The sequence below is a fragment of the Homo sapiens genome, chromosome 14, assembly GCF_000001405.40.
Source record: "Homo sapiens chromosome 14, GRCh38.p14 Primary Assembly".
Classification (NCBI taxonomy): Eukaryota; Metazoa; Chordata; class Mammalia; order Primates; family Hominidae; genus Homo; species Homo sapiens.
The window spans coordinates 61,253,675-61,277,054 of NC_000014.9; the positions used below are offsets into that span (position 1 = coordinate 61,253,675).

Here is a 23,380-nt window from a genome sequence, read left to right on the forward strand (position 1 = left end):
CCTCTCATATAATGCCTAATTATACTGGTTTCTAATCTGACTCTGCCTAATTAGGCAACGGTGCGCAAGTTTTCCAAATTTCCTAAGCCTCGGTTTCCTCCTCTGCAAAATTGGATTGGTTGTAGTGTCCACTGCAAAGTGTTACTAGGAGAGTTTGATGAGATAATATATGGTCAGTGCTTAGCATAGTGGTGGCTGGCCTATAGTAAATGTTCAATGAACACAGGTATAATTATTAAAGGTGAGGTAAACACGTACACAAATGTTTGTGTACATGTTTCCTTCCTTCTTCCCTCCCTCCCTCCTCCCTCCCTCCCTCCCTCCCTCCCTCCCTCCCTTCCTTCCTTCCTTCCTTTCTTCTTTCAACAAATATTTATAGAGTTTCTACTATGTCGAAACTCTATGCGAGACATTGAGGAGTATAAAAAGCTGAAAAAGTTATGTTTCTATTCTCAGAGAGCTTTCAGTCTCTCTCATGTTTTATCATTTGGATATAGATCAGTGATTCTAAAAGCTGTTTGCTAACATCCCAGAATGGCCTTAGAAGAAAATTCCCCAAATTCTCAGGAAAATAAATAACAAGCTTTTACCTGAAATATTGATTTATGCCTTTCCAATCTTAAAAGACAGAAAAAGTCGTGATAAAAATCATGCTAGACCAGGCACGGTGGCTCATGCTTGTAATCTCAGCACTTTGGGAGGCCAAGGTAGGAGGATTGCTTGAGCTTAGGAGTTTGAGACCAGCCTGGGCAACATAGGGAGACTTCCATCTCTACAAAAAAATGTTTTTAATTAGCCGGGTGTGGTGGTGTAAGCCTGTAGTCCCAGCTACTCGGGAGGCTGAGACGGGAGAATCACTTGAGCTCGGGAGGTAGAGGCTGCAGTGAGCTGTGATTACACCACTGCACTCCATCCCGGTGACAGACCCTGTTTAAAAAACAAAACAAAATAAAACAAAACAAACAAACAAACATAAAAACCTACTAAAAGATTGGCAATCATAGATGTCAATTTTTGAGAGGAAAGTTGTTGGTAGGCAAGCCTTTAATTTTGGGCAAGAATAAAAGCAAGTTGATTTTAAGGTTTCCCTGGCTGTATGAATATTTCTTCCAAAGGACATGGTCAGAAATCTCCAGGGAATTTCAAATCTCTTTTCTAGGGAGAATCCAATTTTTCTGGTGTAGACCAGCATCGCCAAACCATCATCAGTGCAGCATGGCTTCCTCCTTCATTCCTCCTTCACCAGCTCTGTACTGCCGCCTGCCAGGTTCCAGGAAGGGCGGTGATGCAGATCCGTGAATAACCAAGACAACATCCCCTGCCTGGGAAAGCTGCCCTGTTCCATCCTCACTGCAGTCCCACACTCTCTCAAAGGGACCCTTCAAGATTATGGCAGCCCTTCTTGCTGCGCTATCAGGATTAGGGCTGGAGTTGTGAACCCAGAATAGCAAATTCAATTCCTCTCAAATCAGTTTCTCAACGTTGTCCTCTAACCTCTTAGCAGGATTGAGGGAGTTTCTTTCTCTTCATTAGGCAGGTTGTGGGACTCACTTAAACCAAGCAGCAAAGAGGTTAATTGACCAGGTTTGTGTTGTTATTTATATGTCATGTAAACACCCAGCTGGTCCTGGCCTTTACATTTGGCCATATCTCAGCAGGGATCACAGGATAAACTTGACACTTGTGAGACTCCCCAGAGAGGTCTTGAGATTGGGAACACATTCTTTTGAAGTGTATCATCCGCTTCAATCTATTCTTTAGGCCAAATCCTAATAATCACACCTGTCCTCCTTGTAAGGGTCCAATTGTGGATGAGGCAATTTTTCCTTTTTCTGTCCGAAGAAGAGATTATTATCTTAAAAAAAAGACAGTCTTGTAAGAGGCAAATTCAAATACAGATTAAAATAATAATAATACTTAGCATTTCCACCCCACCTTTCATCTGCAGAGCTCAAAGTACTTGGCAAACATTAATTAATTCTCAAAACAGCCTTATGAGGTGAGTAGGGGTATTATCTTTATAATAATATATAAATACTGGCTGGTTCATGAAAGCAGCCACTTAAAAGGGACAGTGCTACAGGATTAGTTTCAAAAACAGTCTTCTCACCTGGTCTAGACTTAATAATTTTGGATAACACATTTGGGAGTGCCAAATTTCCTAATAATACGATACCCTAGAGTGAACATATATACCCTTTCAAAGTGATGTCTCTAGTGGTTTAAGGCAGTCTTATCTATTTGAAGGAAATTTTTAATGTTAAAAAATTCTAATTGTGGGTTGTTCACTTGAAATGATGTCAGTCTACACATGAAAGGATTCTAAACTGTCCTAGTGCATAAAGTTTAGTGGCGCGAGTCTGGGATTCTATTTCAAATGCATTTGCACTTGAAGGGTTGGTGACAATTTCAAGGTTTTATGTTTTTACTCATCGATTTAAATTTTGAGCATGTCGCAAATCACAGTTCCATGACTTGTCAAAATGCATACCAACCAGAATTTCTGTCTCATCACCAGAGATGAAAAATACCAAGACAGATAAAAGCTGACCAGGAATGCATTAAATTGGCTCCCAAATGAATCATACAAAAAGGTGGTCTATTTTTATTTGGTATCCTTTTCTTCCTTTGTCTCCTGTCGTGACCTCCTTTAGCAAATAGAATAGTATTCCATTTTCCAGTTGCTAACCTGAATTCCCCGGAGTTGGTTTCTGAGCATAGAACCGTCAGTGAAGCCCACCGCCTGTGGGGTGTGTTCTGTCATAGCTTTGGTTCCATCTGTGCTTATTTTTCCTGAAGACAATGCTCGTCTATGCGAAATTGTACTGGCTTTTTGATCCTGAAAAATTAATGCTTTGGGTTAGTAGAAATTATACTTTTTCTATCCTAAACTCGCCCCGCATCAAGAATTACCTTGCCCACAGTAAACATTAATTCAGGATTTTCTTTGTTTTATTGAGATGTAAAAATATCCCTAGACTCTGGCTGAAATCATTGTTCATTGTCTTGGTTGGGTAAATCCTCTATTTTAAAGTTGTATTTGTTGCTCCGAATTTTTTACTTATTGATCCTAGTATGTGAATTGGTCCACTTGATCATGAAAGAAACCTTATATACCACTTAACCATGCAGTATTGATCTGCTAAATCTATCTGCTTGCCTCTGTCAATGGCTTCACTTAGCAGCCTCAAGAGAGAAAACCTGGTTTTGGTCTCATAGCTTTGGTTGAGCTGATGGTCTCCAATCTCCAAAGTGGGATAAACCAGATTCCTTCACTGTGTTTATCTTGGCCCGCCATGTCTCTTTATGGAGAAAATGGTCCAAATAAAGTGCTTCCTCTGTGTATTTTGACAGGAAACACTACTAATATGCTTTCCTTTTGTTGTGTGCCTTTCTCCTTTCTCCCAGTGTTGTTTAAATATTTTCAGTACAATGACATATTTATTAATCCACTACTCTCTGCATGGGGCATGAAATGATTGGTTCTTCTGTAAAGCCCTCTTAGAAAAGGTGGTTTCTCCAGTGAGAGTTAATAATATTACCACTATTCATGTAAAAAAACACTGAGACAATCTCTTAAAAATGGAACACATTTATCTAAAACAGCTGGTAAAGAAAGCACGCAGGCCCAGCCAGAGGCGGCGAGGTCAGAGGTCAGGGTTAACACCGATCTCGGTGGAACTTTGAAGCTGACATTTTACAGATTATATGTGTCTCAGTGCACAGTGGGCATGGCATATAAATTGGACTTAGAGACCCCTATTTGTTCTCTGCATTTTTATGAGCCCACAGAGCTCTTCTTTGAAGCAGCATACATAGAAAATAAAAACTCATTTTAATGTTGTGGAACTATTTACAATAAATCACATTTACATCCTGCCTTTTCCTAAGCATAAGATCTTTCTCCCTCTCTCTCTCTGTCACACACAGACACACACACACACACACACACACACCCCCACACACACACACACACGCATACACACACATTCATGGAGTCTATTTCCCAACCTGGGGAGCTTATTTTTCACCTTATAGTATTGTAAACCTAGCTTCCTCTCTCTCTTTGCCTTGACTTAGGAATCAGATTAGAGATTCAGCTATATTTAGTACCACAAGGACACCTTTTGTAAGTCATGTGAGGTGATTCAGCTAGAACGAGCACTCTTCACTCCCAGGACAATCCCCTGATACCATAAAATGCTTGCTATAGCATGGCACTTCAGCACTAGAAGAAAGCATCTGATTTCAAAGAGATTGAGTTCCACTCTGGAACTAATTATATCATTCGTTTTATGGATTTTTTTTTCTAAGTTGCTAGGTGTTTTAACTGGAGAAGGCTGGCGACCAAGAGAGAAACGTACTGGCAGAGATTCTGCCATGGGCACTTTAGCCACCTAATTAATTTTCAATAAAAACTCGCAATAGTTAATTTGCTCTAGACCCCAATGTAAATCAAACTGAGACAAATAGGTTAAAATTAGAAATGTGTGATGGAAACCATGTTTATGGTCAAAATTACCTTTCACCCTGGAAATAACACAGATTGACAGGGAAAGAAAATGAGACCACACAGGTTTTTGTTCAAAGAGACTCTTAAGTGAATTAAACATTTTATTAAGGGGAAACCTGGACCAAAAAAAAGTTTCCAGGATCTATGAAATAATGTTATTTTAATAAAAAGTAAAGTTTTAAAAAGAGTTACCTTAAAAATCACAAGATTAAGACATTTTCATTATACAAAGTTGCCTGGTATCCCCTTTTATTTTTTTCCCAGGCTTAACATGATGTAGGGTATAATAGTAAAAATACTATAAAGTTATTAAGTTCCTGGGTCTAAGTTGGCAGACATACCCACCCAGTGCCACATTCCTTCAGCTCCTATGTTTCAAAACATTACTTTCCTACATCAAATAACCATTTTTACTTTTATGAGAACACAGACATAGATTTTTTATGATTTTATAATTATACTTCAATCCTCCAATTAAAATGCCCAGACAATATAGATATCTTTGGCCCAGTCTATTGGACAAATATTATTATTAAAGTTCCCTCCAGGACTTTATATTTGCAAAATATTTTGTGGGCTTTAATCATTTTAAATTGCCTTAACTTTGCCCATTTTCTCCATGCCACTCTGTTATTTCTCAGGCAACCATTTCATTTTAACCCACAAACTACTCATGTGATGCAAGGTGAAATAAGCTAATTTTTTAACATATTGGAATGTTAGTCTCAGTGATTGTTAGCTCCTTCCTCGTCCTTTGCTGAACATGGCAATTCAAACCACCCCTGGATTCTATTTTTATTTCACTTTTGCCAAGTTCACGAAGTCAATTCCCTCTTTCCCACTCAATCTGGCTTTTCTTCCTGCCCCAAAGGAATGATGTTGTCACTGTGATGTCTTCTAATGCACTATAAATGCCGTGATGAATTGGAGGCAGGCTGGTTTCTTCTGAGTGGGAGTCCATTATCCTGTCAGAGTGTTCCTTTCCTGTAACTTAATTTTTATTGTAACAAATGACTAAGTACCAAAAAATGAAACAATGTGATGGGCCGATCTAAAGTGGCCTTCCTCTGATGGTAAGTAGAGCAGAGTGACAATTGTTTGCAGCTGCTTTCCACAGGGCTCTCTGATGACATTCACTACCCAAATTGGAGTTATCAAAAGCATTTTCTGGGCGTTTATGGAAGATCTTCATTCACACTGACTGACTAACGATACCAATATAAATAAAGTGCTTTGCAAAAGAGGTCACGTTAAGAGTAAGAGTGGAAGAGACAGATTCTCAAACCCGGCTGCACGTAAGAATCACCTGGAGATCTTGTTAAACTGAAATTCAGGGGCTCAGCTCCCATCAAAGGAGATACCCATTTAGTCTGCTGAGGTAGGACCTAGGAACAAGCATTTTAAACAAGCATCTCTGCTAAATCTGTTGAAGCAGTCATACACATTATACTGTGAGAAACACTAGCCTAGAGCTCTGGTCAATTAATCTTTTCAATAAATCTCCACTGCACACTTGACCTTTATTTTATAACAAAGCATTTTTTTTTCCTGCTTGGATTTCTAACTAGGGTAGTTCACTCAAATCCTAGTTCCAATTTGAATATGATCTGTTCACAGTTGGTCCATTTTCCCCGATTTGTTTTACAGATTAATAACCAACATGTCTGAAAGGTTAAAATCATCTGTTAAAGATGATGTGAGAATATTAATCTGGAATCCATCAATCCCCAGAAATCCAATAAATTTGGCGTATAAGTGACCGAGCCTTCATCTGGACCAGAGGGTTCACAGATTTCACCATATTCCCAAATGGGTCTGTGACCCAGAAAAGATTAAAGACCAGTATCCTGGAAGTGAACGAATTTGGCCTCATTAATATGAAACTTCCGTATCAAACAAATGGTTGCAATGTCTAAATGGTATAACTGATTACATGTCTAAATAATATAACTGATATTAAGGTTCTAGCTTTACAGGTGATTAACATTTTATAATAAAAATAAAGCTAATTGCAACCCTTCTGAAATATTAGAATGTTGTTTGATATTTGAAGTTTAATATGTAGTGTAATTGCATTGTCCTGGAAGCACTGAAACTACTCTCCTAAGAAACATTTAGGAACAAAGGACAGAACCACTAGGTTTTACCTCTATGGGTTTAAATGGAGTCTATTTTGGAGGCAGAGTGAAACTGAATAAATTCTAGAAGATCATGGAATCTCAGTATCAATTCTTCCGTCTATTAAACATTTATTGAGGGCCCATCAAGAAAAATAAAAACTATCATATGTTTATTGGAAGCTGAGGCTAGCAGATTTGTGAAATACCCTAGTTTCATCTAAACATATGCACACCTGTGAATTGTCATGGTGGCATTCTGTAGCCATTAAACTTTCAGTTGGAATAATTTCAGTAAATCACAGTTAACTTTATTAATCCATGTAATCTGTAAGAACAAAAGGATGATTTTTTTTCTTAAAAAAATGTTTGAACATCAATTAGTTAAAAGGCTGGATGAGAGTGGGAGATGATTATTGGGGAAAGAAGCAAAATAATAGCTTTGTGAGTAAAACCACAAATCCTTTAATCTATTGATTTCCACAGAAATAATGCTAACCTTTGCGGATAATCACAAAACGTGAAATGAAAGACATATCAAAGAAATATCAAACATTCTGGCTGTACCCAAACAACTTCTGGTAGGAAGACAAGATGTACTTTAAGGGACTTCCAAGTATTTCATTTTAATCACAAACCTTGAGGTGTTAAAGGGGTTCATGAGGTCTCAACTCATTGTCAACTAATTATCTTTAAGTTGTTGTCAGCACATTCTAATTATTATGCTCCTGTCAGCTCCACCACTGGGGGTGCACAATCCTAGAGTAATCGGTTCCAAAAACAATACCACCACCACCAACAAAAAAACCAAACAAACCAACAAACCCAGGGATGACTCACCTGGCTGCTGCTTGGTTTGCTAAACTAAACTGTTGCCGTCACCAACGCACACACGCACATGCACATGCACATGCAAAAAGCTTTTAGGAACTTTCATCTTTTTAAAAGGGCAAGGGAAAAAAATCAATAAAGTGGTGGCCTGGCCAGCAGTAGGGAATAGTTGAAGCAGCATGGGTGGCTGCGCTGTATGAGAAACAGATGTAAGCTCTCTGGGAATTGGGCAGGCATTTCTCTTTACAGCCAAATCAACCAGCCAATGGAAGGCAATTAATGTCCCTACCATCGGTCACCCACCCATTCCCAAAAAGATTATTCAGTGTGGCTGCTGAGGCCAAGAGCAGAAAGGGACATCCACCCAGCTGGAGAACATATGATTTGGGCTCACACTTTACCCAAGTCGTATTCTTAAATATGATTTATTTCGAGGTCTGAATCAGCAGGGGAAGGCTCTCTTGCTGTTCTGACTTGGCACATTCTACCATCAGACAAGTCTAAATTCATCTGTTGCCATTTACATCCATATCTTTTTTTTTTAATTTATTTTTCTTGGCCTAGGAATCCTTTTAGAGTTGGTAAAAGACATGGACCTGACACAAAAGGATTCTTGCTGGTGTAGAGTTAGATGTTACAGATTTAAGGATTTGGAATGATTCAACCCCTTTGGAAAACTGGCAGTTTCTCATAAAGATAAACAGGCATCTACCCTACAACTCAGCAATTCCAGTCCTAAGTATTACCTGAAATAAATCAAAAGATATATCCACAGAAATAATCATTTAAGAATATTCAGAGCAGCACCGGGCACGGTAGCTCACGCTTGTAATCCTAGCACTTTGGGAGGCCGAGGCGGGCAAATCACGAGGTCAGGAGTTCATGACCAGCCTGGCCAACATGGTGAAACCCCATCTCTACTAAAAATACAAAAAATTAGCTGGGCGTAGTGGTGGGCACCTTTAATCCCAGCTACTTGGGAGGCGGAGGCAGGAGAATTGCTTGAACCTGGGAAGTGGAGGTTGCAGTGAGCCAAGATCGGCACCACTGCACTCCAGCTCAGTGACAGAGTGAGACTCTGTATAAAAAAAAAAAAAGAATATTCAGAGCAGCATTACTCATAATAGCTCCAAACTGGAAACAGCCCAGACGTCCATTCATAGTAGAAAGGAAGGATAATCAAGTTGCATATTCATACAACAAAACACTACTCAGCAATAAAAAGGAATGAACTACAGATACACAGTATGATAGAGAATCTCAAAAGCATTGCGGGGATCAAAAGAAGCTGGATATAAAAGAATACAAGCAGTATGATTCATTTATATGAAGTCTACAAATGGGCAAAATTAATCTATAGTGAGAGATGTCAGAAGTCAGAAAGAAGTCACCTTTGGCAAAGGGATAATTGAGTGGGAAGGGGCACAAAGAAACTTTTTGGGATGATGGGAATAGTCTATATCTTGTTTTGAATCATGGTTACGTTTGTGAATACAGCGGACAAAATGCATGGAGCTGAACACCTAAGATCTGTACATGGCATTGTATGTAAATCATGTCTCAAGGTTTTTAAAAATTGAAAAGTGAAGGATTTTTCTAAACCCAGATGATGCAACAGAAAAAAAAAATGAGGAAATCAAAAAATAGGGAAAATGGGGGGAAGTGGATGATGCCGGGGAAAGCCAAATTAATTAAGGATAAGGATACATATGAATGTATGTAGAAATACCCAGCCATTTACCTAAGATTTTCTCGAGTGCTTACTAAGGGCCTGATACTGTGCTAATCACTTTAATATACATTATCTCATTTAGTCTTCTTTTTCTTTGACCCTCCAGTACACAGAATTGGATTAATCATATTCCTTGGTTCATGACATATTCTCATCATTGGTCCATTTGTAGCTAGTTTGCTAGTTTTATTTAGTTGACTACTTATTTTTATTCATTATATGTGTTCACGAGCCTGCCGCTCCATCACAAACTAGCACCTTGACTATAACCAGTTATCTCCCTATTTGATCCTCTCTCCCTCCCATTCTCCCTTATTCCCTCTCATTCAAAGCAGTCATCACCCTGGACCTTGTGTTTATCATTCTTTTTCTTTTTTGCACATGATTCTACTGCTGCTGTATGAACTCATAAACATATAGACTTCAATGTTATTTAGCTTTACCTTTATGAAAAAATGTGCTATACATAATCTTTGGAGATTTATTTTTTCCTTTAATATTATATTGCTAAGATTCATTTATGTTATTGTGTGTTTGTGTATCATTTAATCTTTACTACAACCTTGTAAAATTGGTATTACTATCCACATTTATGGAAGATAAAGTTGAGGCTCAGAGAAGTTGATTAATATGCCTAAGGACACACAGCTAGGAAGGGGCAGAGGCAAGATTCAAAGCTGAATCTCTTAACCAATATACTACACTGCCTTCTCAATTCTATTGCCAATTATCTATAGCCATATCTCTATCTATACCTATTTGTATCCATATCCATTGCTGTACATATTTATATATAAGCATAAATGTCTCCAGGTAGTGGAATACAAAATAATCAGCCAAGTTCATCTAATAATTTATGGGTTGTTATACCCCGATAGAGAAATACAAACACAAGCCCATAACTTCAAGGGTCAAGTCCTCTAAAATTTAGAATATACGAGCAGGTAATGTCTAAGGAAAAGCATCTGAAGTCAGAGTATTGTGTGTGTGTGTGTGTGTGTGTGTGTGTGTGTGTGTGTGTGTGTGTGTATGTGTGTGTACGCACGTGCATGTGCAGTTTCTGGAAAGTGTCTAAGAACAACATCCTTATTTTATTTAATCTCATATGCCAAAAGGGCAAATACATGGGCATTGTTTAACTGAGTCCTTGCTCTGCACCTTATAACTGTATACCAGAGGCCGTGGAAACTGGATCGCCCTCTCAGGATGCCATTATAGCCAAGCAGAATCTCATTAAAAATCAATTCCTCGGGTCCATAAAGCCAGTTTATTTTATCTTCCTGGAGTGCCTGCTGCTAGCAGTTACACAGTTTCATTGTGTGGCAGTCTTGTCTGTTAAGAACATTGCACAAAACGGCTATTTAAAGATTTTCCATTTTTATGTTAAACTTTATAATTTTACAGTAGTTTAAGTTTACAGGGTTTGCTTTTCAAGCTTAGGGTATCTTGTTACATGGGTTGGAAGTAGCATTGCCAGTCCTAAGGTTCCACTAATTAAATATTTGCCTTTATAAACTAGATGTTGTCCAATGTGAGTGTGCAGATTTAATTGGGCAGCAGAGCTCCAGATCTAAGAAAGCCTGATTTGGCCACTTTCAGCAATTTCTCATTCACTGCTGCTTTTTGATTGTTGAATTGTGCCTAGGGCCTTCACTAGTAGTAACACAAAAATCAGCTAGGGAATTTGCTCTTTGTAGTAATCCTAATTCAACTCTCTCTAAATATCTTACAAATCAATATTAGCCAAATTTTATAAATGGGGAGTTGAAAGCACATAGAGATTTAGTGACCTGTACAGGTCACCCTGAATGAGCAACACAGGCAGAAGAAATTGGAGAGGCTACTCTGGCCCCATCTGGAATCTTTTAACTCTTTTGACCCCCTTCAGTGGGCTTCAGGGCTCGCTGATTTCAAAGATCAGTGACCTTTTTGGGATAGTGCTTGGCAGTGAAACAGAGAGGCTTGAATTCCTTAGATTTTGGCTACTGTGGTCCATGACGCAGTTTGAGTTTGTTTTTTAGAAGAGTCCGTGCTGTTAGTGAGGAGAGTAAGGAGGGATGGGGAATGGTGTGTTGGGCTGGGATTGAAGTAGGAAGATGTTTAAGATCACTAGAGCCACCCAGTGTTCCTTCCCTACCACGTGTTGAGGACTAGCATAAGCATGTCATTACAATTTTTTTTAAAGGTTAGAAGTTGACATTGGAAGGAACCAAATCCAAAACAATCCTCAACATAACCTTTTTCAAATTCTCAGTGGAAAATAACAGGGTTATCCTCTGTTATGAACCCTTGCAATTTTGACAATTGCATTTCTCCTCAAGAAACCATCCCAGGCGGGTGCGGTGGCTCATGTCTGTAATCCCAGCACTTTGGGAAGCCAAGGTGGGTGGATTGCTGGAACCCAGGAGTTCAAGACCAGCTTGGGCAACATACTGAAACCCTGTCTCTACAAAAAATACAAAAATTAGCAGGGCATGGAGGTGAGCAGCTGTAGTCCCAGTTACTTGGGAGGCTGTGGTGGGAGGATAGCTTGAGCCTGGGATGCGGAAGCTGCAGTGAGCCAAGATCGTGCCGTTGCACTCCAGCCTGCGTGACAGAGCATAACCTTGTCTCAAAAAACAAAAACAAAAACCCTCACTTTACAGAGGAGACACAGAACATTAAATAACTTTTCCAGGTCACATACTTAGGTATTGGCAGAAAATGGACCATCACCCAGGATCACCACCTCCCAAGCCAGTGCTTCTCTCTGTCACCCCTCTGCCACTAAGAGCACCTTTCATAAGCCCTACACCAAATCATCTTTGAATTTAGAGTCATTTTAGTCTGGGCTTGAAAACATAAAACTGCAATATTGCTACATTAGTGTACAGTGCTAATGTTTGCTTAGGGTGAGACTGGGCTAGGAGAATAAGATCTAGGGAGAGCTCCAAATAAGAGCCCCCAGCTGGGTGCAGTGGCTCATACCTGCAATCCCAGCACTCTGGAAGGATGAGGTAGGAGGATCACTAGAGGTGAGGAGTTCGAGACCAGTCTGGCCAACATAGCAAAACCCCATCTCTACTAAAAATAAAAAAATTAGCCAAGCGTGGTGGCATGCGCCTGTAATCCTAGCTACTCGGGAGGCTAAGGCAGGAGAATCACTTGAACCTGGGAGGCAGAAGTTGCAGTGAGCTGAGATCACCCCCAAGAATGTGAAAAGGGATTCTTTAAGAGGGAGAAAGAGTTTTAAAGACTACTGAAGCTTTTAGAAAAATCATAGGTCCTTGGCTGGACATGGTGGCTCATGCCTGTAATCTCAGCACTTTGGGAGGCTGAGGTGGGTGGATCACTTGAGGTCAGGGGTTCGACACTAGCCTGGCAGGCATGGTGAAACCCCGACTCTACTAAAAATACAAAAATTAGCTGGGTGTGATGGCATGCACCTGTAATTCCAGCTACTCGGGAGGCTGAGGTAGGAGAATCACTTGAACCTGGGAGGCAGAGGTTGCAGTGAGCTGAGATTGTGCCACTGAACTCCAGCCTGGGCAACAGAGCGAGACTCCATCTCCAAAAATAAATAAATAAATAAATACATAAATAAAAATTATAGGTCCAGAAAGTATGTAGTGATAAATAGCCCCTGAAGCTGCATAATAAGACCATTTTTAAAAGCAAGGAACTTCTGGGAGTGCATAAAAAGTAAAATGCATTGCAGGGAAACATAGGAAAATCATTCATGAGCCTCCGAATCAGTGGCTTGACTCAGCACTGAAACATGGATCTTGAGCAAAGACAGATGGAAACTTGTTTTACGAAGGACCAGGAGAGGAATTGTCTCACGAGAATATGTAACTAGAAATGGCTTTATATGCCTGGTTCATCTATATGCTGCTAATGCACTTATTTGTGTATATTTTATGCTAATAGAGGCCCTAAAACTGATATAAGAATCTGTGTATGCTAAAAAAAATTCTGATTCCCCGAGCTTTGCTGAAACGGCGCCTAGGGAGGGAGATGAGGTGATGGGGATGGGTGATGGGAAACAAGAAACACAGTTTTTGAAGGAAAAGCAAAAACTTCATTCCTTGGGTGGGATGGTAGAGGGTGGGGTTGAAGGGAGTCTTCAACCACGCCAAGTCTAAATAGACTGGGAGGCTTTTATTTGGAACTCTCCTTTGGCAACGTTTTATCACAGCATGTTTTCCATTCTTGGCGGAGAAAAGGACCTGGAGGCTATAGAACTGGCTCAGTCTTCACTCTGACAATACGTTCACAATAATGGAAGACATCTTTTCCCTATAACTTTGAAAAACATGAAAGCAGATATTGGCTCTGAGTATGTCTGATAGTCTAACTTTATTTCCTGTCAACAGAAATAACTATGATTTATATGTGGTCATCAACTTCGCATACTCACATACAATTCAGATTGAGAGAGTACAGCGAGATGTAATGCTCGGAGCCTTGATGTATGCCTATCTAGCAAAGCTTCCCGGTTCAAGGAGACCTCAGGGACTGAGAAAGACTCTTTAATATTCTCACTCTTCTGACACTCTAGCCCCAAGTGCATCCTTCCAGTGAGGTATATTACATGGGCTTCAGACGAACTACATGTAGGCTTTGATCTCTGAGCCCCTCAGCTACCCTTCTTGTGATCCTGAAGGTTGGTTGGACTGAATCCAATAATTATAGTGAGATGCTGAAGGCTGAGGAGCTGATTCATGTTGGCATCCGGCACACTGTTTTATTCTTTTAGTATTCGTTTACATCAGAGGAGTGAGAGCATTTTAAAAATTCCATTTTCTTCTCAGAATGGATTGATAGTGCAGGCAGTGGAAATTGAGTGAATACACCTTTTCAGTTAATGCCATCTTATGTCATCTGGTTTTGAATTCAAAAGCATTTTTTCCACTGTCTTGTTGTTATGCTGTATAATTTATTGAATTTAAGATGTCGAGAATCATAAGATGCACCATTACGTTATGTACCACTAAGAAAAAAAATGCTGCCAATTAAAATATCACCTAACAATTTTTTACATTTTTTGCACTTTATCCTTATTAAAAGGGTGCTTTTATATTTGTTTAGATAGATTTTTCTTACGTATCATGCTTCTGCTGATATGAAAAGAAAAATATATTTAAAATAAACTAAGCTTTATTTTTGCTAAGATTTTCCTAAAATTCCTTCATGTTCAGAGTCCAACTCTTCGGAATCCCTTAAAGACAGAATCTTCAATGTCTATGTTATTGTACACAATGCAGTGTTTTGCCCCAAATATGACAGTACTGCACAATGACAGCTACATCCTGACCATTACCTGGCTGACAGTGAGTCTGTCTAAGTGCCAGCAATTGTAACATGCCATGGATTGTGAGAAGCCAAGACTTTGATATACATCCTGATTTTAGAAATGTTAAAATGTGGGGGGAAGTGCAGCTTAGAATGGAAGAAATATTTGTTTTGGTATTGAAGAATGGTACCAGCTTCACTTACACACAATTTTAAAATAGTTTACAAAAATTTATATTTCTGGCCGGGTGCGATGGCTCACACCTGTAATCCCAGCACTTTGGGGGGCTGAGGCAGGTGGATCACCTGAGATCAGGAGTTCGAGACCAGCCTGGCCAACTTGGTAAAACCCCGGCTCTACTAAAAACACAAAAGAATTAGGTGGGCATGGTGGTCCATGCCTGTAGTCCCAGCTACTTGGGAGACTGAGGCAGAAGAATCACTTGAACCCGGGAGGCGGAGGTTACAGAGAGCCGAGATCGTACCATTGCACTCCAACCTGGGTGACAGGGCAAGACGCTGCCCCCTGCCAAAAAATATATATATATTTCTTAGGTTCAATATCAACCTCAAAAAGTAGGCAAAGTTTAAATCATTCCCACCTAAAGCTTTTTGCTTTGATTGAATGACTGTTCCAGTACAAGCAATTCAAAGCAATTCATAGAATGCTAACTGGGCATACTTAATTTTGCTTCTGGAAAGACTCTGGAGGCTTTCTGCTCCAGAAAGAAGTGACTATTGTAAGTGTATCAGTCAGTCCATTAAGCTGTGAGTCAGTTTCATACAGTTCCTGGGAAAGGCATCTGCCAATATTTATTGGTCTTCCACTTAAAAAGAAAAATATAGTTTCAAATATAAAAAGACATATTCTTCCTATTTGGCAAAGACATTTGGTGAAAAGAAAAAAAGTGGCAGTCTTTTCCATTTTTTGTGCCTATGCTTATGACAAAGTAAATGACGTGTACTTTTCCAAAGTTAGAGCCAAAAATTTTTTCTTTATGACATAGTTGTAAAACTAACATATTTGTGAAAAAGTTTTTTTAGAGAAAAAAGAAATTTGTAGTAACCACTAGAATCATATTGCAGAAAATATTATTTGAATAAAAATTAATGATAAATTTTTTGATCACTTAATCATAATGTATAGAAAGTCACAAAATTGTCATAAAATTTATAAACATCCAAACTTTATTTACTCCCAGGAATTTTAATTAATTAATTAATTTTTATTTAAGTTTTAAGTTCAGGGGTACACGTGCAGGTTTGTTACATAGGTAAACTCACGTTATGGGGTTTGTTGTACAGATTATTTCATCACCCAATTATTAAGCCTAGTATCCATTGGCTATTTTTCCTGATCCTCTCCCTCCTCCCAACCTCCACCCTCTCATGGGCCCCAGGGTGCGTTGTTCCCCTCTATGCGTCCATGTGTTCTCATCCTTTAGCTTTCACTTATAAGTGAGAACATGCGGTATTTGGTTTTCTGAGGAGCTTTAATTTCTATAGCTACTATTTACATGCACATACACAATCCCCTAAGAGCAGATTTTTTTTGCTGTCGTTTGCATTAGACCCAAAGGTAATTAAATGCTGGTGATTCTGTCTATGTCCAGCGGAGGGCAGCAGTGCACATCTTTAGAACGGGATTCTCATTACAGATTGGACCGACAATCAACCTGAGAAATTGTACGCTGCGTTCCGTGTCGCTGCAGTCAGGCTCCGGCCACAGGTCCCGTCAGGGGCAGCGAGGCCACGGCGAGGTGACTTCAGGGGGCCAGGTGGCAGAGTTGAATCCTTTTCTCAGTTCTGTAGAACGACCTTCCCCAGTCCCCGGGTGTACAGCGCAGGAAAAATGCAAGACTCTATGACATGCAAAGGGGCTGGCACTGAGCCCACTGCTTGGCTGCTGAGTTTACCTTTGGTAGTAAATTTGAGGAAATGTGGCTAAAATGCTACTTATTCCCTTCCCAAGATTTCTGTCTTAGGGTTAATTTCTACTTAGATTGCATGGCCTCCCGCTTTCTGCTCTGATGAAAGACACTGAGGTTGGGCATGGTGGCTCACACCTGTAATCCCAGCACTTAGGGAGGCCAAGGCAGGAGGATCACTTGAGGCCAGGGGTTCGAGACCAGCTTGGCCAACATAATGAGACCCCTGTCTCCACAAACATTTTTTAAAAAGAAAAAAGACAATGAGGAGATGTCATGGCTTTGGTGCTATGAGTCTGTAATACAAAAGCCATCTCTCCACGCTAGCAGTGGCCAGGATTTTTCCTCCCTCATACAGTGTCTATACTCACCAAAATTCCAAGGGGACTTACCTGCAGGGGCTCCTGTGTTCTTTTGAACTTTCCACTAAAATGGAGTGCACTGGGCAGTAGTCCACCTAATGTCATTTTTGTTTTTCAACTTAAAGAAAACACATTTAAAAATTATCCAAATTTCTTAATGAGGTCGCAAATGCTTAGGAATGAATTATTCTAACCTTGTGCATTACTTGAGTCTATAGAAGCACTGGATGCAACACAGAAAAAAGTAGACTCTAAAGGTATCATGATGCAATGGCTCACACCTGTAATCCCAGCACGTAGTGAGACTGAGGAGGGAGGACTGCATAAACCCAGGAGTTGGAGGCCAGTGAGGCCCACATAGCAAGACCCTGTCTCTACAAAAAAATTTAAAAATTAGCTGGGTGTGATGGCATGTGCCTGTAGTTCATGCTAGTCAGGAGGCTGAGGTGGGAGGATCACTTGGGCCCAGGAGGTCAAGGCTGCCGTGAGCTGTGATTGCATCACCGCACTGCAGCCTGGGTGGCAGAGCAAGTCCCTGTCTCAAAAAACAAAAGCACAAACAAGTAAAGGTGTCATGAAAGTTTAAGTCTTAGACTCCCTGGCAACCTTTTCATCAGCGCAGAGTAAATTCTCCAGACTGTTATTATCAGTGCTGAAGAGTGTATACAATGTGTGCACAACTTAAGGAATAATAGCAAGATGGACACTAGTGTACCCACCTCCCACAGTATTACTAGTACTTTGATACACTGTTTGCCCTCCCTGCCGCCATTCACCCCCTCTCTCCCAGGGATAACCACTCTCCTAAATTGTTATCTTTTCTGTGTTTTTCATTATAGTATGAATTTCTCTCTATTCTGTTCCATTGGTCTACTTGCCTACCCTACACTAAAATCACCCTGTCCAAGTCACTGAAGCTTTCCAGTGAAGTCTTCAGTTCTGGTAGGTCAAGTGAAATCCCCCTCCACCTTCTCACGCCTTCAACTCCAGTTCTTTTTCAGGGCTGTCTTGACTATTCTTGTTCCTTCACAGATTTAGTCTTAACATTCATGATTAATCATTATTTGCATAAAAACTAAAAGAAAATTAGAGGATGAGAAGTTGACTCCTTTAGCGAGCCTCTCAGTCGGCCAACCTGGTTTGAATTCTGGCTCTCTATACTGCCTGTGCTGCCTTAGACTAGTTATTTAACCTCTCTGAACCTGGCTTCCTCATCTGTGAAATGCAGTTAATATTAGCACCTACTTCATAGGATTGTTGTGAGGAGTACAATGTGATAGGCAAAGCACTCAGAACATTGCCTGGAAAGTGCTCAACAAATGGCAGCTATTTGTTTTGTCACTGCTGACTTTGAATAGCCAGGGAGCTTCTGAAGTCACACTGCCCTCAGCTGGAAACCTGGCTGTCCCCAACCAGCTGCATAACACTGGACCACTTTCTTTCTCTCTTCAAACCTCTGTTTCTGAATTTGCATAATGGGGATAATATTAGGGTTGTTTAAAGATGACATGGGGCCGGGCGCGGTGGCTCACGCCTGTAATCCCAGCACTTTGGGAGGCCGAGGCGGGCGGATCACGAGGTCAGGAGATCGAGACCATCCTGGTTAACACGGTGAAACCCCGTCTCTACTAAAAAAAATACAAAATATTAGCCGGGCGTGGTGGCGGGCGCCTGTAGTCCCAGCTACTCGGGAGGCTGAGGCAGGAGAATGGCGTGAACCCGGGGGGCGGAGCTTGCAGTGAGCTGAGATTGCGCCACTGCACTCTGGCCTGGGCAAAACAGCGAGACTCGGTCTCCAAAAAAAAAAGATGACATGAGAAAAACCAAGGGAAATCACTTAGTGTGATGTCTGGTAAGTTGTATGTGCTCAACAGGATTTTAAGTAGATTTCTTTTTCTTTTCTTTTTTCTTTCTTTTTTTTTTTTTTTTTTTTTTTTTTTGAGACAGAGTCTTGGTTTGTTAACCAGGCTAGCATGCAGTGGCACGGTCTAGGCTCACTGCCATCTCCACCTCTCAGGTTCAAGCGATTCTCCTGCCTCAGCCTCCTGAGTAGCTGGGACTACAGGCACACGCCACCACGGCCGGCTAGGTTTTGTATTTTTAGTAGAGACGGGGTTTCACCATGTCGGCCAGGCTGGTCTCTATATCTCCTGACCTCAGGTGATCCACCTGCCTCGGCCTCCCAAAGTGCTGGGATTACAGGCGTGAGCCACCACGCCTGGCCCATAGATTTAATTTTTGAAGTGAATTGCATCTTAAGGCTAAAAATGGTCTGTACCCTTGCTTCTGAGTATCTACAAAAACACTTGCCTGGGAGTCATTGGAAAAGAATGCTGGCAGTAACAAAAAGTTTATAAAATCACCTCTTGTGATCTTGCAACTTTTCTTTGCTTTCAACTATCAGAGGTGCAGGGAGGAGAAAGTGTTCCTTACTCAGGGCGGGACTCTCTTTCCTGGGTCCCTCCTCTGGTTCCACAGCCTGCTTTACTGGCTGAGGGCAGACAATGCAAAGCCATGTCTTAACTTGATTTCCAGAATCAGAGGAAAGTTTAACATAACAAAATTTTATAGCTCCTGCCCAGTAACATATATTACTTTAAAAAAATAAAAATACCTTTCCCTTATCATGCATTATTCTTTTACATGTACATTTTTCCTGATGTATTGAAGTAATATTCCACGGTTTCCTATGAGTTGGAGGTTTTATGGCCCTTCTGTGGCAGATCAGACTAAACATAATTCATTCATAGCTACTTAGTGCTCAGGGAAATAAACCCCTGAACTTAAATAACTATGGTGTGACCTCTGTAAAATATTATTTATGGCTTTAAAACTACTATTATGTAGATATCAAGATGTGCCAAATGTTATAAACCAAACACCAGCCAGCAAATGGGACAACTACTACTCCATTTATTTTTTTCTTTCCTTCCTGGATACTTCTCTGCAAATACTACTTCTGTTTAAATGGATTCTGGGGTAATTACCAGGCAGGGGAAAGCAATGTTTATTTACATTTTATTATAGAATATTACAGTAAGTAAAAAATTCTCTTTCATAAAGAAGCACCACAAAAATGTGAACATTCATTAACATACTGGAGTTTAATAGGAAATACATTGATTACTTTTGAGCATAAAGTAACTACCCTCACTATCAATGAACTAATGTAACCCATCTGCTATTCATTTTTGCAAATTAGTTTATGGAGGAAAACCTGATTGTACGTTTAAGTTATCCAGATGGGATACGCTGAGCATTTCCATGCTGTTAAGAATATACGTGCATTCTCAGCTGTCTTTAAGATCTTCAGTGTTTAGAGTGCCATCTCTGCATCTTACATTATTAGATGCATCTCTGCATCCAATAATTTCCTGAATTATTTCCTATGCATTCAACTATCTTGTAGGAAACAAAATGTTCACTGGTAAGAAAGTAATGGAGTCATTGGTTTCCTAGTTGTCATTCAGCTAATGTTTGAGGACCCATCATGTGCTGGTTATGGTACTTGGCACTGGCAATAAAGATGAATGAGAAAAAAATTCTCACCTCTTGTAGGACTAGCAGCCTGAATATGGAGATAGATAAATGAATAATCAGCTTCTAGGCACATAGCAAATGCTCCGAGAAAGAAATGGAATAAGTACTAAGAGAGGATGAGGGTTAAGGATAGGGCATGGGAGAGGCAAAGAAGACTTGCAAAGAACTTCACAGAGGTGAAAACACAGAGTAAAGTCTTAAGGAAGAATGAATGAGTAAATTCTGGTGGTCAGGTGGAGGAGCAAGACCAGCATGAGCAAAGACACGGAGGTTAGGGCCTCTTTAAATCATTCAATATGGCTGGAATTTGGTGGGGTGTTGGAGGAAAAGTGGATGAAGATTTAGAACGAGGCCAACCATGAAGGTGTGTATGTCCTGCTGAGTTTACTTTCTCCTGTAGGCTGTGGGTAGACAGGAGTGATTTTGCATTGAGGGGTAACATGATAAGACTTGTGTTTTATGTAGCTCATTGTGGCTGTGATGTGGAGAATAAACTGGAGCCCAATTAGGAGGCTTCTCCAACTTTCAGATGAGAAGTAGCAAAGCCCTGGGCCAGGGCAGTGATAAAGAGAGAATTGACTGAAAGTGCATTTGGGATATAGAAGCAACAGGATCTGATAACTAGGTTGATTCTAAGAGGAAACAGAAAGGGAGAAATCAGGGAGGCAATTCAGGGCTCCTTGAGGGGATAGAGGAGTCATTTTCAGCATCTGATGCTATTCTTGGAAGGATGGGTTTGGAGAAGTGGCCAATGAAGTTAGTATGGCCCATACAGAAGTTACAGTACCTATAGGGAGGGCATTTAGACGTGTTCAAGAGGTTTTTGGAAATGTGAGTTTGGAGAGAAGTTAGGGTTGGAGACACAGATTATGCCACTTATATATATGATGTTCAGTAATGTTTTTAAAGATACATGAAAGTGAATATATGAGCTAATTGGCTCATCTAAGTAAAACTTAAGACCACAATTCAGTTGTTGGCAAACTACATTGAAATAACAGATAAGTCTTCATCCTTCAAGACCTGTAGGAAAAAATGAAAAGAATAGAAGCTGTTTTACATGCTGTCACTTAGCATGAATAGGAAATGTTTCCTTTCCCATTTTGGATTCTTTAACAAAAATTGGAAATGTCTTTTACTTATTAAAATCATAACAAGTATTAATCAAGCCTTCCTTTGAAAATACTCATGGTCCATTCCAATGATTGTCATTGCCTCATCCAGAAGTTATGCTTTCTTTTCTTTTAGAACATCACCTACTTTTATAGAGTTCTGTACAAAACTGAGCAAAATATAAAGGAATATATTTCTACCTCATTGGTCTTGATGACTTTCTAACACCTCATGCATTTTGATGGATAAGATTAATGCGACCATATAGTGTCAAGCACCTTGGACTTTCAGAACAAAGCCCTTTTAGAAGAACAAAGTATCATTATTAATGACACATCATTTACAGCTTTCATCGGTAATGTAAGGCTTCAGCCACTATAATGGGAACTTAGTTAAGAGCTCAATGTAGAGGGCAAGGCTATTAGCTAAGGTTCTTGACAGTAATACCTTTTGCTCCTAAGGAAAAAGACAAATCGCACTTAAATTGATCAAAAAGACAAGCCAAGGGGTTCAGAAAGAGGTGAGCCACCATTCGCTTACTAAATTTCTCAAAGCCCTTGTCATCAATGAGTCCTGGTGGTGAGCCATGCCCTCATCATGGGTTTCCTTTGCTGCCAATCCCCTGCCTTCTAGGTATCCTGCTCCTCCAGAAAAATGCCTCATGCTTCAGACCTCATCTTTCCCTTTATTCTCCTCTCCTGTCTCCCTACAACCCCCAAAGTTTCTTGGGTTTCATTGCCACAGGATTTTTCTCTGTCCTACATGAACTCGGACAGCAAAGTACATTAAATAAAGGAATGCTGGTTTGCTCCGGTAACCTAATTGACATGAGTACCGCTAATGACGGCAATCTTAATGCAAGGTGGCAAAGCAGTGGGGACGCATTTTTTCCTGAATATGCGTTGTCAGTGTATTCAGTGTATTGTTGTATTACTAACAATCAAGTAAATAATGGAGGATGCCTGTGTACATAGCATCAACACTATTAGAAAAATTGGCAAATTCCTGACGAACTGCTGCTCTTATGTAAGAATCTCTTTGGGACCTTAATGTACTTCAGGTTCATGAAGACCTTCTTAACGACTCTTTTGCAACTACTCTGTTTTGGTTGGAGGAGACTTAAGAGACATTTTCCTGGGGAAAAAAAAATTAAAGTTAATTTTTTTAAAAAGAATGCCATCTAAAATCAGCCAGCTCTGTTTTAGGTAGAGAGAAAAAATCTGGAACACAAAGAAATGTCCAATAAAAATAACAGAAGAGGGACTTTTTTTTTTTTTCTTTTTGTTTTTAAGACAGAGTCTCACTCTGTCACCCAGGCTGAAGTGCAGTGGCATGATCTCGGCTTACTGCAACCTCTGCCTCCCAGGTTCAAGCAATTCTCCTGCCTCACCCTCCTGAGTAGCTGTCACTACAGGCGCCCACCACCACACCTGGCTGATTTTTGTATTTTTATTAGAGGCGGGGTTTCACCATGTTGGCCAGGCTGGTCTCGAACTCCTGACCTCAAATGATCCATCCACCTCGGCCTCCCAAAGTGCTGGGATTACAGGCATGAGCCACCGCACCTGGCCGGGAATTTACTTTTTGATTACGTGTATGCCCTTGGACTTCTTATATCCAAGGAACTAGTTGATGACCTTGCAGCTCTACCAGCAACTTAGAGAGTTACTCAAGATTGTTGAGATCTCCTATGACAGGAAGACGGCAACAGACTTAAAGTAAGGTAGAAAGGGTTTTGATTATATATTATGAAGTGATATTTGCTCTAAAGGAAATTCCAGACTATTAGTCTGTCTCTGAATCTTAATAATTACATAGGCCGGGTTTGGTGGCTCACACCTGTAATCCCAGCACTTTGGGAGGCCAAGGCGGGCAGATCATTTGAGGTCAGAAGGTCAAGACCAGCCTGACCAACTTGGTGAAACCCCATCTCTACTAAAAGTATATAAAAATTAGCTGGGCGTGGTGGT

The 23,380-nt window shown here is 40.3% G+C and overlaps 1 protein-coding gene across 1 annotated transcript in view, besides 3 other annotated features; it reads left to right on the forward strand.

Moving 5' to 3' along the window:
• Window positions 1-23,380, forward strand: part of PRKCH (protein kinase C eta) — a 363,509-nt gene that overhangs the window by 66,207 nt on the left and 273,922 nt on the right. The gene's annotated exons all lie outside the window — the stretch shown is intronic.
• Window positions 1,095-2,294: an enhancer, noted in NCBI's record as "CDK7 strongly-dependent group 2 enhancer chr14:61721487-61722686 (GRCh37/hg19 assembly coordinates)". NCBI's record gives its function as "activates an origin of replication core promoter dependent on BRD2, BRD4, P300/CBP, MED14 and CDK7 cofactors, with strong dependence on CDK7, by STARR-seq in HCT116 cells {active_cell/tissue: HCT116}" and the evidence as "EXISTENCE:reporter gene assay evidence [ECO:0000049][PMID:35650434]".
• Window positions 1,269-2,029: an enhancer, noted in NCBI's record as "OCT4-NANOG hESC enhancer chr14:61721661-61722421 (GRCh37/hg19 assembly coordinates)". NCBI's record gives its function as "activates a minimal SCP1, AML or CMV promoter by ChIP-STARR-seq in naive H9 embryonic stem cells {active_cell/tissue: H9 hESC(naive)}" and the evidence as "EXISTENCE:reporter gene assay evidence [ECO:0000049][PMID:30033119]".
• Window positions 16,237-16,736: an enhancer, noted in NCBI's record as "H3K4me1 hESC enhancer chr14:61736629-61737128 (GRCh37/hg19 assembly coordinates)". NCBI's record gives its function as "activates a minimal SCP1, AML or CMV promoter by ChIP-STARR-seq in naive H9 embryonic stem cells {active_cell/tissue: H9 hESC(naive)}" and the evidence as "EXISTENCE:reporter gene assay evidence [ECO:0000049][PMID:30033119]".